Below are 14,793 nucleotides of genomic sequence, written 5' to 3'. Positions count from 1 at the left end.
GAGAGGATGTGGAGAAATAGGAACACTTTTACACTGTTGGTGGGATTGTAAACTAGTTCAACCATTGTGGAAGTCAGTGTGGCAATTCCTCAGGGATCTAGAACTAGAAATACCACTTGACCCAGCCATCCCATTACTGGGTATATACCCAAAGGACTATAAATCATGCTGCTATAAAGACACATGCACACGTATGTTTGTTGCAGCATTATACACGATAGCAAAGACTTGGAACCAACCCAAATGTCCAACCATGATAGACTGGATTAAGAAAATGTGGCACATATTCACCATGGAATACTATGCAGCCATAAAAAATGATGAGTTCATGTCCTTTGTAGGGACATAGATGAAATTGGAAATCATCATTCTCAGTAAACTATCGCAAGAACAAAAAACCAAACTCTGCATGTTCTCACTCATAGGTGGGAATTGAACAATGAGATCACATGGACACAGGAAGGGGAATATCACACTCTGGGGACTGTTGTGGGGTAGGGGGAGGAAGGAGGGATAGCATTGGGAGATACACCTAATGCTAGATGACGAGTTAGTGGGTGCAGCGCACCAGCACGGCACATGTATACATATGTAACTAACCTGCATAACGTGCACATGTACCCTAAAACTTAAAGTATAATAATAAAAAATAAATAAATAAATAAATAAATAAAATAAAATGTTCTACATAATACTGTAATGGTGGGTACACAACATTATGCATTTGTCAAATCCAAAAATCTGTAAAACACAGAGTGAACCCTAATGTAAACTACAAAATTCAGATATAAGTATCAGTTCATCAAATCTTTTAAATGTAGCACAGTAACACAAGGTGTTCAGAGCTGGGAAAACTGGGCGGGGGCACTGTAGGGGAGCATATGTGAACCTCTGTACTTTTCTATTTTTTCCAAAACTGCCAAAAAAAAATCTATTATGTTTTTAAAATAAAATGATCCCTAGCAGGAAAAAAAAATGGCAAAAGATCTCAACAAATATTTCCCCAAAGAAGATATACACATGGCCAATAAGCATGAGATAAGACACTGGACATTACCTTCAATAGGAAAATACAAATGAAAACCACAATGAGATACAATTTCACATATATTAGAATGGCTACAATTAAAAAGTCACACAGTAAGTGTTTGTGAAAATGTGGAGCAACTGAAATTTTAATATACTGCTGGAGGGAATAAAAAATAATGCAGCCATTTCAAAAAGCAGTTTGGCAGTTCCTCAATTAGACAGTTATCATGCATCTGAGCAATTCTGCTCCTAGATAAACACCGAAGAGAAATGTCTACACAAAAACTTGTAAACCAACGTTTATAGCAGCATTATTCGTAATAGCCAAAAGGGGTAAACAATGTCCTAAGTGTCCATTAACTGACAAGTGCATAAACAAAATCCAGTGTATCCATGTAACAAAGTATCATGTGGCCATAAAAAGTAAGTACTGATACATGTTACGGCATAGACAAACCTTGCAAGCATTATGCCAAGTGACAGAATCCAGTAACAAATCCCATATGATAGATAATCCCATTTATATGAAACACATGTAATAGGGAATCCAGAGGCAGAAAGATTGGTGATTGCCAGCGCTACAACTGCGGGGATGCAGATGATGGATGTGGAGAGACGGAATTGAAAGCTAAAGGCACAGGAGGCAGGATGTTGTGGTCCATGCCTGTACTCCTAGCTACTAGGGAGGCTGAGATGGGAGGATTGCTTGAGCCCAGTAGTTCAAGACTGCACTAAGCTATGATTACACCACTGCACTCCAGCCTGGGCTGGTTGACTGAGCAAAACCCCATCTCTTAAAAAAATAAATAAATAGAAATAAAATAAGGTAAAGGGCATAGGATTTCATTTGTAATTTTTTTTGAGGTGGAAAAACAATTCTAAAATTGATTGGAGTGTTGGTTCCCAACATCTGTGAATATACTAAAAACCACTGAACTATATACTTTGAGTGGGTGAATTACATGGCATGTGAATTACCAATAAAGCTGTTTTAGAAATCCTAATATTTGCTGTGCTATAACTGCGGCAAAGTACCGCAGGGCAATAATTGCAGAGCCAGCCCTACCGTTACAGTATGACACAGGAAAACTTAAAACTGCACTTACGATCAAGCTAGATGCAGAGCATATTAGCACAGCAAAAATAATTGACTACACTAAAGACCCATCCTTCAAGGATTACAGAATTTAAGTGCTGAAAAGGAGAGTACAACTCCTCTGTTTTTTTAAAAAAGGTAAGAACTCACAAATTAATTAGTCACTTGTAAAATTCTGGATAGCTAAGAGATTTTCAAATATAATTTAAAAGAAAACACACGACCAAGACAATAATGGAAATCTATAGATAAATTTACTATTACCTTTAGCTTCTGAACACACAGCCAAAAATCCATCTTCTGTCACTGCTTTAAACAAAGGTCTGACTCCTTATGTATCTCTGCCCAGGAACAGTTTCTTGTTAGCAGAATCCAGTAAAACAAATGTAAACACACTATCCAACATACAAATTGTTTGCTCAATTCCTCCTTTGTCATAAAGATGAAGGATTATGTCACCATCCACTTTGGTCTGGTATTCAAATTCAAAACGGTGCTGCACCTTAGGAAGCAATAGCAAAACCAAAACGTTATAGACTCCTTGTGCATTCACTAATAATTTTTTATCACAAAGTTGCTTTAGTATTTCTGGAGCTCTAAAATCATTTCATGCACTTTGGTGATTTAGGAGAATCATAGCATTTTCAAACTAGGGTTTGCTTCAACTCATAATTCTGCAAATTCTGTTCAATATAAAGCTGAACCCATGAAAGCTTTAGTTGCAGTCTGATAAACAGAATATAATGGGAGTGTACCAGAATAGTAACCTGTGGAAGAATGGAAATTCATATTATATACATATTATGTATGTGATACATAAATATTTTTATATATGCAGATTGAGTATCCCTTATCTGAAATGTTTGGAACCAGAAGTGTTTTGGGTTTCGGAATTTTTTTTTGGATTTTAGAATATTTGCATCTACATGAGATATCTTGGGGATGAGATCCAAGTCTAAATGTAAATTCACTTATGTTTCATATATCTTATACACATAGCCTAAAAGTAATTTTATATAATATTTCAAATAATTTTGTGCATGAAACAAAGTTTGTGTACATGGAACCATCAGAAAGCAAAGGTGTCACTATCTCAGCTTCCATGTGGAAAATCTGTGGCTGTCTGATGTCACTGACCATCCTTTTTGACTCTGAATTTATATGCTACTGATGAGCAATCATTTTCACACACTTATTCACACATAAGTAAAAATATGGCATGCCATTAATACAGTAAAAAATAATAAGCAACACAGTAGCATCACCAGAATACCTGCATCAGCTGTTAAACAGCTGTACAAACAATGGCAAGCTTTCAGGCTCCACCTACAAGGCTGTGTTTTGATTAAAAGGTTACTGTGCATTGTATTTTTTTCTTTTTTTTAGGTGAGAAGAAATATCAGAAGAGTTGAGCAACTAGGAGGTGAGTCCTCTGAGGCTGAGGAGGCATTCTGCCAGATGGCTTTTTATAATGTTTCTCCAGAGGCATCTGTCTCATTATCAATGGCTTTTGTCTTGGAAGTCTCTCTTTAATTTTATAAACTGACATGACCTCTTGTTCTGTTATGAATGCAGGTAGCTTTAGTCCTTCAATATCTTCAATATCTCTATCACACATTTTCACCATGTCATCTATACCTTTACACTACAGTCCAATTTCTCCAACAGCTTGACTTTCTGTGTTATAAGTATTTCTACTTTTCCTTATCGTTGCTGCTCGTAGGGATATCTACAGGTCTTATTGACATTTTCAGTATGTTAACATCACAGAGCAGAGAATAAGCAAAAATACACAATGGGTAATGCACTTAGGTCCCGTCTGTGGGGATCCTGCCTTTGGCGTGTCCAGCTTGCACATGTGCCATTCTGTGACCCTTTTTGGGTGTACTTACATGGGGAAATCTGAGCATGTGTACAAAAGTTATACTGCAGCTGAAGGGGGCTGAGAGGGTCTTTTTTCACTAGAGAACATCAAATAAACTGTGTGTTGTTCACCTGCATTTTGACTCGGACATCAAAATCCACATGTAGTGTCATGTCAGTGCTCAAAAAGTTTCAGATTTTGAAGCATTTCAAATTTCAGATTTTCAGATTAGGGATGCTCAACCTCTAAATTTAAGTTAAGGTAATAGGTTGCTTGGTCGCCATGACATTAAAAAATGTGTCTTCTGCAACTGTAAAGTTTGAGAAGACAGTATTGGCTAAGAAGTTCCTCCAGTTCAGCTTCAAAGACCTAGGTATAAAAATGTAAAGCAAAGAGACAGACATCATTTGGCATCATTCCCTGAAAAATAAATGGCTCCATCACAATAACAGATACATGATCCAAAACAAAGCTGCTTGTCCTCAGGGGTGGATGACAATGTCCAGTGCTCCCACCACGGCAGTAGCATTAAAACTACTCCTCACTGAGAGATAAAATGATGGTGGCACTTTATTAGTCTGCATGCCCCAAAGCAACAGCAAAGGGACTGTCTGCCACTGCATGCAGAGTAAGAAAGTTTGATTAGGATACTCCCCAATTCTGACACTCTCCACCATCACTGGCAAACTATGAGGATGAAAAGTCCTTGATGTATTGCTCTTTGTATGTCATACTCACATTTTTGGCTGACATTAGAGAAAGAAGAGGTTTAAATCAGGTGGAAATCCTAGGTTAAGTTTAAAACATGTTTTCAAATCTCAAAAAGTAAACCTATTGTGTATGTGTGTGACCCATAAATACGCTTCGCACTCCATTCAGCTCACTCCATAATTTGTGAACATTTTGTCTGTAAGCCCTCAATGTAACTGTCCAAAAATGGGCTTTGCCTACAGTGACTATAAAGCCACAACCTGGTCACCCGTCTCTGCTCTATCAGGGATGATCTGTAACTAGCAGGTGGGGTCTGGAAACAGTCTTCTGCTGACTGTCCAGGGCTGAATTGCCTGAAGGGTAAGTGACCATAAAGCATGGAAAACTGTCATTAGCTGAAAAAAATAAACCCAGCACCTAGGACAATAGATACATGCCATATACTCTCAAATAGATGACGGGTCTCCAGCTTGTTTTCTGCCTCTTAGGAGCTTATAAAACTAAAGTTCACAATTAATGGGGAAGGGAGGAGACAGATGATCTTCATTGCCTTAGTTACAAACTTGCTTTGGTCTATGCTGATCCTGTGTTAAACTGTGAAATAGAATCTATCATCCTGGCTCTCAGAGGCCCTTGACTTCACCCTTTTAGTGCTTTTCTTACTTATTTTCAAACCTTCACCTCTCTCACATTGAAAATCACAACTCCTAATACCCTCTCTAAAAAACTACCCCTTCCCACCAACTACCACCACCTACCTCACTCTATCATCTAAATCTGTTTCAAGTATAAAAATCTTGGTAATTTATATCTTAACACCAATTACATACTAACTTTTCAAAAAGCAAGTTAAGCCTGATTCTAATTGTGGGATGAAAAGTTTTTTCCCTATGAATAAATTTTAAATATCATCAAGCATGTTGAGAGGTGCTAGCGAGGGCATGGAGCAAGGAATCAAATTCCATAGGTGATTGTTTTCTCTATCTTTGTATAAAAATGTCCTTGTCCCAATTAAAGCCTCCAGCAAGTATAAAAAGAAAGCGTTTGGTGATATTAGCAAGCAACAGTTTCCCAAATCTACCTTGCCCGCCTCTTTGGCCTAAACTCTGCAGGTAATTTATTCAAAAAAGAGAAGGGTCCTTTGGGTAACAGATGTATCACTTCCTACTCTCTTAAACCAAACTCCGATGCTGCATCTTAGATAAAAGCCCTCAAATCTGGCCTCCTGAAGTCATGCTGTCATTTAACTTGACTGCAGGCCCCTGATACTCCCCTGCAGGGAGAGAGTCTGCTCTTTGCCCCAGCCTTTACCCCATTCCTACTTTCTTTCACTCAGTCCCCCTCCACTCCCAGCACACCTCTGGCTGTATTTTATTATTAGTAGTAAACTTTATTTTTATCAAAAAGAGGGTAGGGGGTATTTTTGAGCTTATGTTGCAGAATACTTTATATAAGCCTAAAATATACATTCTGTTCATTAGATTTCTAGCTGCCCCAACTACATAAACTGAGAGGCTTGGTAGAAGCAATGGAACAAACTTCTCTAGTTTTACAAATATAACATTTGACTAATTTAGAACAGAAATTAATTATTTTCAAAATATTTAACTTCTTTTAGCTTTTTAGAAAAAAAAACTGTCTGAGTAAAACAGGGCACTTCCTATTTCATTTAAGGAGAAAGTCAAGCTGATAATGCCATCATACTGCCTAGCTTTCTCATGCATATGACACTGATTTGACTTAGAAAGAAAAAAGTTTTAATACTCTCTTCTACTTCCCACTAGCAGGAAATTCCATTCTTGCCTTTCCTTTTCACCATTTCATCTACAATCACCTAGAAAAATGATGTCTGGTGCATATTAGGCCCTTAATAAAGGAATAAAGAAATGTGTGAAAGGAATTTCTTGAATAACTATTTTAAAACTTTTTGAACAAGAAGACTGTTATTAAGAGTGTTCCCGTGAGCAGGCAACAAACAATGACAAAAGCTATTATTCAGAGATAAAAATGTCCAAAACATGGTTAGGGTATAACTCTCTATCACTGCATGACAGGTATCTATCAAGAAGTCTCAGAAAAAATACCAAGAAACATCACAACCAAATGCATGAATCTTGAATGAAATCTGGCTCTAAACAAACAAATACCAGCTATAAAGATATTCTTGGTAGCACTTTGAGGGGCCAAGGTGAGCAGATTGCCTGAGCTCAGGAGTTAGAGACCACCCTGGGCCCAGTCTTTACTAAAATACAAAAAATTAGCCAGCCATGGCGACAGGTGGGCCTGTCATCCCAGCTACTCAGGAGGCTGAAGAAGGAGAATCGCTTGAAACCGGGAGGCAGAGGTTGCAGTGAGCTGAGATTGCAACACTGCACTCCAGCCTGGGTGATGAAGTTGAGACTCTTGTCTAAAAAAAAAAAAAATTCTCCAGACACTTAGGGAAATTTAAGTATTAACTGGATATTAGGTGGCATTATGTTTTTTTTTCTTTTTTGAGACAGAGTCTTGCTCTGTCTCCCAGGCTGGAGTACAGTGGCTCAATCTTGGCACACTGCAAGTTCCACCTTCCAGGTTCACACCATTCTCCTGCCTCAGCCTCCCGAGTAGCTGGGACTACAGGTGCCCACCACTAGGCCTGGCTGATTTTTTTATTTTTGTATTTTTAGTGGAGACGGGGTTTCACCGTGCTAGCCAGCATGGTTTCGACCTCCTGACCTCGTGATCCACTCACCTCAGCCTCCCAAAGTGCTGGGATTACAGACGTGAGCCACCGCACCCAGCCAGGTGATATCATGGATTCTTAGGTTTAATAATAGTATTGATGTTATGTAGAAAAATGTCCTTATTCTTAGGACATAAATGCTTATATATTTAGGAGTGTCACAAAACCTGCACCATACTCTCAAATGTGTTGGCAAAAAACTGTGTGTGTGTGTGTGTGTGTGTGTGTGTGTGTGTGTGTAGAAAGAAAAATCAAGGAAATATGGCAAAACATTAATGATTATTCAATCTAGGTGCTCACTATTCTGTTCTTTTCTGTATGTTAGAATTTTTTTCAAAACAAAAAGCTGGGGAGAAGGAGAAAAAATTCTAAGAGTCAAAGAAACTGTGTAATCCCCATTTTTATCACTTTTTTTTGTGACCAAGTGATTTCACTCACCATTTTATTCATCAGTTCCCTATCTACATACTTAGAGCAAATGAGATAACATAGAATGCTTTGCAAAGTAAAAAGCATGATACAGAATATATAATGTCATCGTAACCAACAAGCTCTGAAGTTTAATCACATCCAGACCTCTTGCTTCTTTTTCCCTACCTTCTTATGGTTGTAGATTTCACCACTGTAACAGAGCCACATATATGGATATGTCTTCACTTAAATTGTCTGCATTCCAAACAAACAGCGGGTCAACTACCACCAATGGGTGAAATCCAAAGCAGCAGCTGGTGTATCCATTAACATTCTCAAAACAGGATGCATCTGGACCCCTGTGTGCACTCTTCATAGCACACAGACACTAAACAGAAAGGCAGTCATTGCTGCCAAACAGGACCCAAATGCCACACACAGTGCAATGAAGCTATAAACTCCCTATGGAGAGAAAAGTAGACAAATAAAAAATATTCAATATCCAATCCAAGTCTGCATTAAATCTTGATTCCAGAAACGTGCGTAAACCACTTCAAAGACTAAAATTTAAACCATCTTTTCTATAGCGATTTCCCATTTGGTTGGCAGGCATACAGGAGTAGAGAATGATTTAATTTACTTACAAGTATTCAGAAAAGATAGTGACCTCTACATTCAACCAGCTACAACAGCTTAGCACCCAGCCAAAGCCTGCATCTCTCCCACCTTAAGATTTAGTGGTTGGCTAGAGTTAGCAGCATCCAGGCCACATCTATCTCTGCATTCTATGTTTGCTTCCAAGATAAAGATACAAATGCAGGCTGGCTCCAACCTAGCCAGAGATCCCAGCCCCACTCTCTGCATCCCAAAATCCCTCAAAGACCCAAGAGACTTTCTAGATTTCTACAGTCTCCTCACAGGTTCCCTTGACAGTTAAATGCCCTCTCTTTACCTCAACTAGCTGCAGGTAGAATATAATGGGTACAACAGAAAATCACTGTAAGTGTAATATGTAGATACACAGCCCTTTTAAACATTTCATTATATTACATCTAGCTTACTTCTAAGTGATTTATTCAGATGTGACTGAAGAAAGTCTAAAGGGAAAAAAAGCAATTTAATTTGATAAATTAAATTATCAATTATAGCCAAATTATTTGGCTATAACAAATTAAACATTTTAAGCTGACAGAAGATGCAAACATTTTAAGTTGACAGAAGATATAAAATGTTCACTATCAAAATGTTGCAACTGATAAAAATGTTCTCAAATATTTCTGTCTCAAACTTGCATTGTTCATTAAGGAAGCAAAATAGGTGGGACATACACAGCAACAACATCCCTCAAAAAACAACTTGGCTCATTCCTATAAGCCAGGCAGCAAATACATCATCCTTACATATGTTAATTACCTTCCAATTTCAAATTCTCAACTGTGAAATAAAGGGCCATTTTATTTGGCTGCTGCCAGTTCAATATGACTGTTTTTATTAAAACATCTCTAACTTGAGAAATATTTGGTGTTTTCTAAAAAACTGCAAATTGCAGCAAATGGCCAGGTAATTTGGAATAAACACCCTACAGAAAAAATATATATTCAAGTTGCATAAGTCACTTTGAGCAATCCTTTGAGGATATTTCATTTATATCTAAATGAACCTCAGGTTTAGCTGGCTTTTCCGGAAAACCAGAAGCAAATAATGTATGATTATAATGAAAACCATCTCAAGCAATTTGGAAATGAAGTACCACATGTCTTATGCTGTCCCTTCCATACACTTGACAAAACAGCCTATAACAAATTGTTTACTTTGAGATTTAGCAGGAAAATTCCATGAGATTTAAATGAGATGACTACTAATAAGCCATCTACCTTTGACTCTATTCCTATTAAAAATGGGTTAGGAAAGTGCTTTCAAAATCAAGTGTGTTCATCAGGGAATCATTTACCTAAGTCTTCTTAACACTGCTTAGTGAATATTAAGCCTGATATAGTAAATACACGCTAACCACTAAATTGAAGGGGAAAGAGGGAGAACAAAGAGGCATGTAAAGTACACTTACTTTTTCTAGTAGGAAAAAGCCAATTAAAACTATCACCTATTAGTTATATTGGAATCAGTCTTACAGGAGGACAAACTTCCTACTGTCGCTACCTATTCTCAATATTTTTCTTATTTCTTCCTAAACTTGTGGAGCCGTGTTGTCCAATAAATATGTGAGCCATGTACATAATTTTAAATGTACTAGTAAGCCCCATTAAAAGAAAATGTGAAATTAATTTTAAATATACTTAACTCAGTATGTCCCAAATAGTAATCATAGTAATAATTTTAACATGTAATCAATATAAAAAAATCAAGCAGATATTCTACACTGTTCTTCCCACTCCAATGACAAAATCCAGTGTATTTAACATAACACATCTCAATTAGGACTAGCCAGGATTCCAAGTGCTCAACAGTTACAGGTGGCTAGCACCTACTGAATTGGACACTGCAGTTTCAGTGCATTGAATTTCTATCCCACTTAGCACTAATTAAAACTTCACCCTCTCACCTGACAATTATGCTAAGATCTCAGTAAGTAACCAACTACAGGCAGTTTCAAGCCCTACTTTACCTCTAATTACTCTTACAGCAATGCAATGAATCATGATTTAAAATTTAAAAAAAAAAACTGCTGTTAAATTATTAGTCAAGCGCCCAGGGCAATGGACAGTAAAGAAATAATGTAGGCCATGGGTCGAGATGACAAAACGGTCCTTTTATTTAAAGCTATAACAATAATCTGAAGCCAGCCCTGTAAAATAGACATCCATTGAAAAAGGCATGCTAGTTCTTTTGCTTTTTTGTGTACTTGGCCTCCTGTGTCCCTAAACAGACCTCTTCTCAGCAGGGTTTGCTCAGCAAGTCACTTGTTGAGTCTTGCAGTCTACACAGGGGGTGGGGAATGGCAGGGGCTGGCATAAGAGTGAGAGGGGAGGAGGCAAGGTGAGGGGGGCCAGGGGAGGAGGCAAGGTGAGGGGGGCCAGGTGAGGAGGGGGAACTTGAAGGGGAGTTCAAGACCAGCCTGGGCAACATGGTGAGACCACCGCCCCTCACCACCGCCATCTCTGTTCTCACTCTAGTCTCACACACATGCACAAATTAAATTTAATTTAAAAATTAAAAAATTGTCTTAAAATAAGTGAAATATTTACATGGTTTATGTATACATTCATTTTGTAGAACTATAGATCCCATGTAACTGGGAACTCTTTACTCTTCTAACACAACATTTATTTAGCCACAAATAAAAGAAGACCAGTGATGTAGCCTGTACACAAAAAAGTAAGAAAGCACTAGTTAGGCTGGGGCAGGGGTGGGGGGAAGAGATCTACAAAATTAAAATTTTATTGGGAAGGATCACTAATTAGAATCAGAACAATTACTGCTCTAAAGTAGTTAAGAACAGAGCACAAGGAACCCAGAGAAGAAGCAGATATGATTCAGAGCAGAGCTCACAGAGCAGATGGTATCTGAGCCGAGACTGATAGAATAACATTAATAAGGGCATTCACGGCCATTTATTATCACTTAACTGCAATGCATTTTGTATAAGTTATTTCTACTCTTCATATCGACCATGGAAAATAATACTTATTCTTCTCTTTTGAAGGAAGTGGTAAGTGGTCTAAGAAGATAAATTAACATACCAACACCAAATAGCTCAAGTTCAGTGACTCAAGAGTGCCCGCGTCTCCCCAAGAGGTTGCTCAGCAGGCAGACGAGGTAGAGAGCCATTCCAAGAAGTGAGAGTGAGATGTGAAAGGTCTCAGTGTGTCTCTGAGAACAACAGAAATCAGTAAGTAGACCAAGTGGGAAAAGCCACGGAAGAGGCAGGGATTTCCTCTTAAGAGAGCAAGAATAAACAGAGCAAGGCTGAGGGAAGCCATGGAAAATGGGCAGAATACCATGCATTTAGCGAGAAAAAAAACAACTTTTAATTTAGAAAGGGGGAAAGAATGGTGGTGGTCTAGGTAAGCCTAGAAGCAGAGGAAAGGGCAGTGGAGAAAAAATAAACAAAATGTATTAGTTAGGGTTCTCCAGAGGGACAGATCCAACAAGATACACGTATATGTATAAGGGAGTTTACGAGAGAGAATTGGTTCACACGGTTAGAAGGCAGTCCCACAATAGGCTGTCTGCCAGGTAGGGAAAGAGAGAAGCTAGTAGTGGCTCAGTCCAAGTCCAAAAGCCTCAAAACCAGGAAAGCCCGCAGTGCAGTCTTCAGTCTGAGGCCGAGGGCCTGAGAGCCTCGGGGAAGCTGCTGGTGCAAGTCCCAGAGTCCAAAGGCATAAGAACCTGGAGTTTCATGTCCAAGGGCAGGAAGAAGGGAAGCAAGTGTCCTGCACGGGAAGAAGAAAAAAAGAGAGCCAGAAGCTACAGCTAGCAAGGTTATCCCACCTTCCTCTGCCTGCTTTGTTCTATACAGTGCAGCGTGTGTGCACCACTTCTGTGATATTGTTCCTAATATCCATGGGAAGAAAGGGTGATGCTATTCCCAATAGCTCATGGGGGTGTACATCCCCTGTGATATTATTCCTAGTATGCAGGGGCAGGGAAAGGATGACATTACTCCCAATATCGCAGACAGTGTTCTCCCTGCCTTGTGATATTTTTCCTAATATTTAGGGGATAGTGGGTGATATTACTCCCAATATCACAGGGGGTGTGCACCCCCCGTGGTATTCTTCCTAATATCCAGGGAGGCGAGAGGTTGATATTACTGTCAATGTCACAGAGGGTGTACATCCTCCCGTGGTATTGTTCTTAATATCTGGGGGGGGGGAGAGGAAATTACTGTCAATATCACAGGGGGTGTAGACCCCTTCGGTGATATTGTCACTAATATCTGGGGGGAGAGGATGATATTACTGTCAAAATCGCAGGGGGTGTACACCCCCCCGTGGTATTGTTCTTAATATCCGGGGGGGGAGAGGAAATTACTGTCAATATCACAGTGGGTGTACACCTCTTCTGTGATACTGTTCCTAATATCCGGGGGGGAGAGGATATTACTGTCAATATCGCAGGGAGTGTACAACGCTTCTGCGATATTGCTCCTAATATCCGGGGGGGAGAGGATATTACTGTCAATATCACAGGGGGTGTACACCCCTTCTGTGATATTGTTCCTAATATCCAGGTGGGGAGAGGATCATATCACTTTCAATATCGCCAAGTGTGTACATCTCCCTTGTGATATTGTTCCTATATTTAGGGGATAGTGGATGATATCACTGTCAATATCGCAGGGGGTGTGCACCCCCCCATGGTATTCTTCCTAATGTCCAGCAAGGGAGTAAACACAACTACTCCCAATATGGCAGGGGGTGTACACGTCCTATGTGATACTGTTCCTATATCCATGGGGGAAAAGGATATTGGGAACAATATTACAAACAATATCACAGGAGGGTGTTCACGTCCTGCGATATGAGGAGTAATATAACCCTCTCCCCCTCTGGATATTACAAACCTTATCACAGAGGGGTGTAAACCCCCTGGGATGTGGAAAGTAGTATCATCCTCTCCCCCACTGGATATTACAAACAATATCACAGACGGTGTACACATGAGGTGTTTACGATATTGGGAGTAATATCATATCCCCCAGTGGATATTATGAACAATATCACAGAGGGGTGTATACACACTCTGCCTTATAGGGAGTAATATACTCCTCTCCCACCCTGGATATTACATCACAGGGAGTTGTACATCCCCTGTGATACAGGGAGTAATATCATCCTTTCCCAGCCTGGATATTACAAACAATATGGCAGGGGGCAGTACACCCTGGCGATATGGGTAGTAACATCATCTCCTCCCCGCATGGATATTACAAACAATATTCTAGGGGGTTGTACACCCCCTGCAATATGGGGAGTAACATCATCCTCTCCCCTACTAGATATTATAAACAATATCGCAAAGGGGATGTACACTTCCTGCAATAAAAGGAGAAATATCATTCTCTCCCCCCAGATATATTATGAACAATATCGCAGGGAATTGTTTTCCCATGTTATAAGGGGAGTAATATCTTCATCTTCCCCCTGGATATTACGAAAAATAACGCAGGGGAATGTAAATCTCCTGCGATATGGGGAGTAAAATCATTCTCTCTGGCCAGGCGCGGTGGCTCACACCTGTAATCCCAGCACTTTGGGAAGCCGAGGCGGGTGGATCACGAGGTCAGGAGATCGAGACCATCCTGGCTAACATGGTGAAACCCCGTCTCTACTAAAAATACAAAAAATTAACCGGGCGCGGTGGCAGGCGCCTGTAGTCCCAGCTACTAGGGAGGTTGAGGCAGGAGAATGGTGTGAACCTGGGAGGTGGAGCTTGCAGTGAGCCAAGATCAGGCCACTGCACTCCAGCCTGGGCGACAGAGCAAGGCTCTGTCTCAAAAAAAAAATAAATAAATAAAATCATTCTCTCCCTCCCTGGATATTGTGGACAATATCACAGGGGAGTGTACAATGAGTTTCTAGAATATATTTGAGGAGGGTGAAGGGCGGTGTGTGCGTGCTTCATGGCCTTATTCGATTAAACACTCTGCTCTCAATTTATTGCTAAATCCTCCTTGAGCCCTTAGATTTCATAACGGTTGTCGCGAGATTTTTCTGGATGTAGAAAACATACCTATTTCTTGCCACCTCATGGGCTACACCTTGACCTAACGTTTTTATGTAGATACTTGTGCTTACTCTGTGGCCTTTCCAGGGTTTGCTGAAGATGGAGGTATATAGGCTGGGCAAGAGGTGGTGAGGTAAATTGGGGTTTATCGATTATAGAACAGGCTCCTTTAGAGGGATATAAAGCACCGCCAAGTCCTTTGAGTTTTAAGCTGTTGCTTGTAGTGTTCTGGTGAACAGTTTTGTTGATCTAACTATTCGAGTTTAGGGTTAA

The 14,793-nt window shown here is 39.6% G+C and overlaps 1 pseudogene across 1 annotated transcript in view; it reads right to left on the bottom strand.

The window, feature by feature from the left end:
* Positions 1-1,158: 1,158 nt before the first annotated feature.
* Positions 1,159-14,793, bottom strand: part of FLJ43315 (asparagine synthetase pseudogene) — a 44,663-nt pseudogene continuing 31,028 nt past the window's right edge. Inside the window, 2 exon segments of the transcript NR_033856.1 lie at positions 1,159-2,627; positions 8,020-8,295. The product of NR_033856.1 is annotated as an asparagine synthetase pseudogene (transcript).

This window comes from Homo sapiens, chromosome 9 (assembly GCF_000001405.40).
Source record: "Homo sapiens chromosome 9, GRCh38.p14 Primary Assembly".
NCBI classification, from domain to species: domain Eukaryota; kingdom Metazoa; phylum Chordata; class Mammalia; order Primates; family Hominidae; genus Homo; species Homo sapiens.
This window is presented reverse-complemented; position numbering and strand designations above follow the sequence as displayed.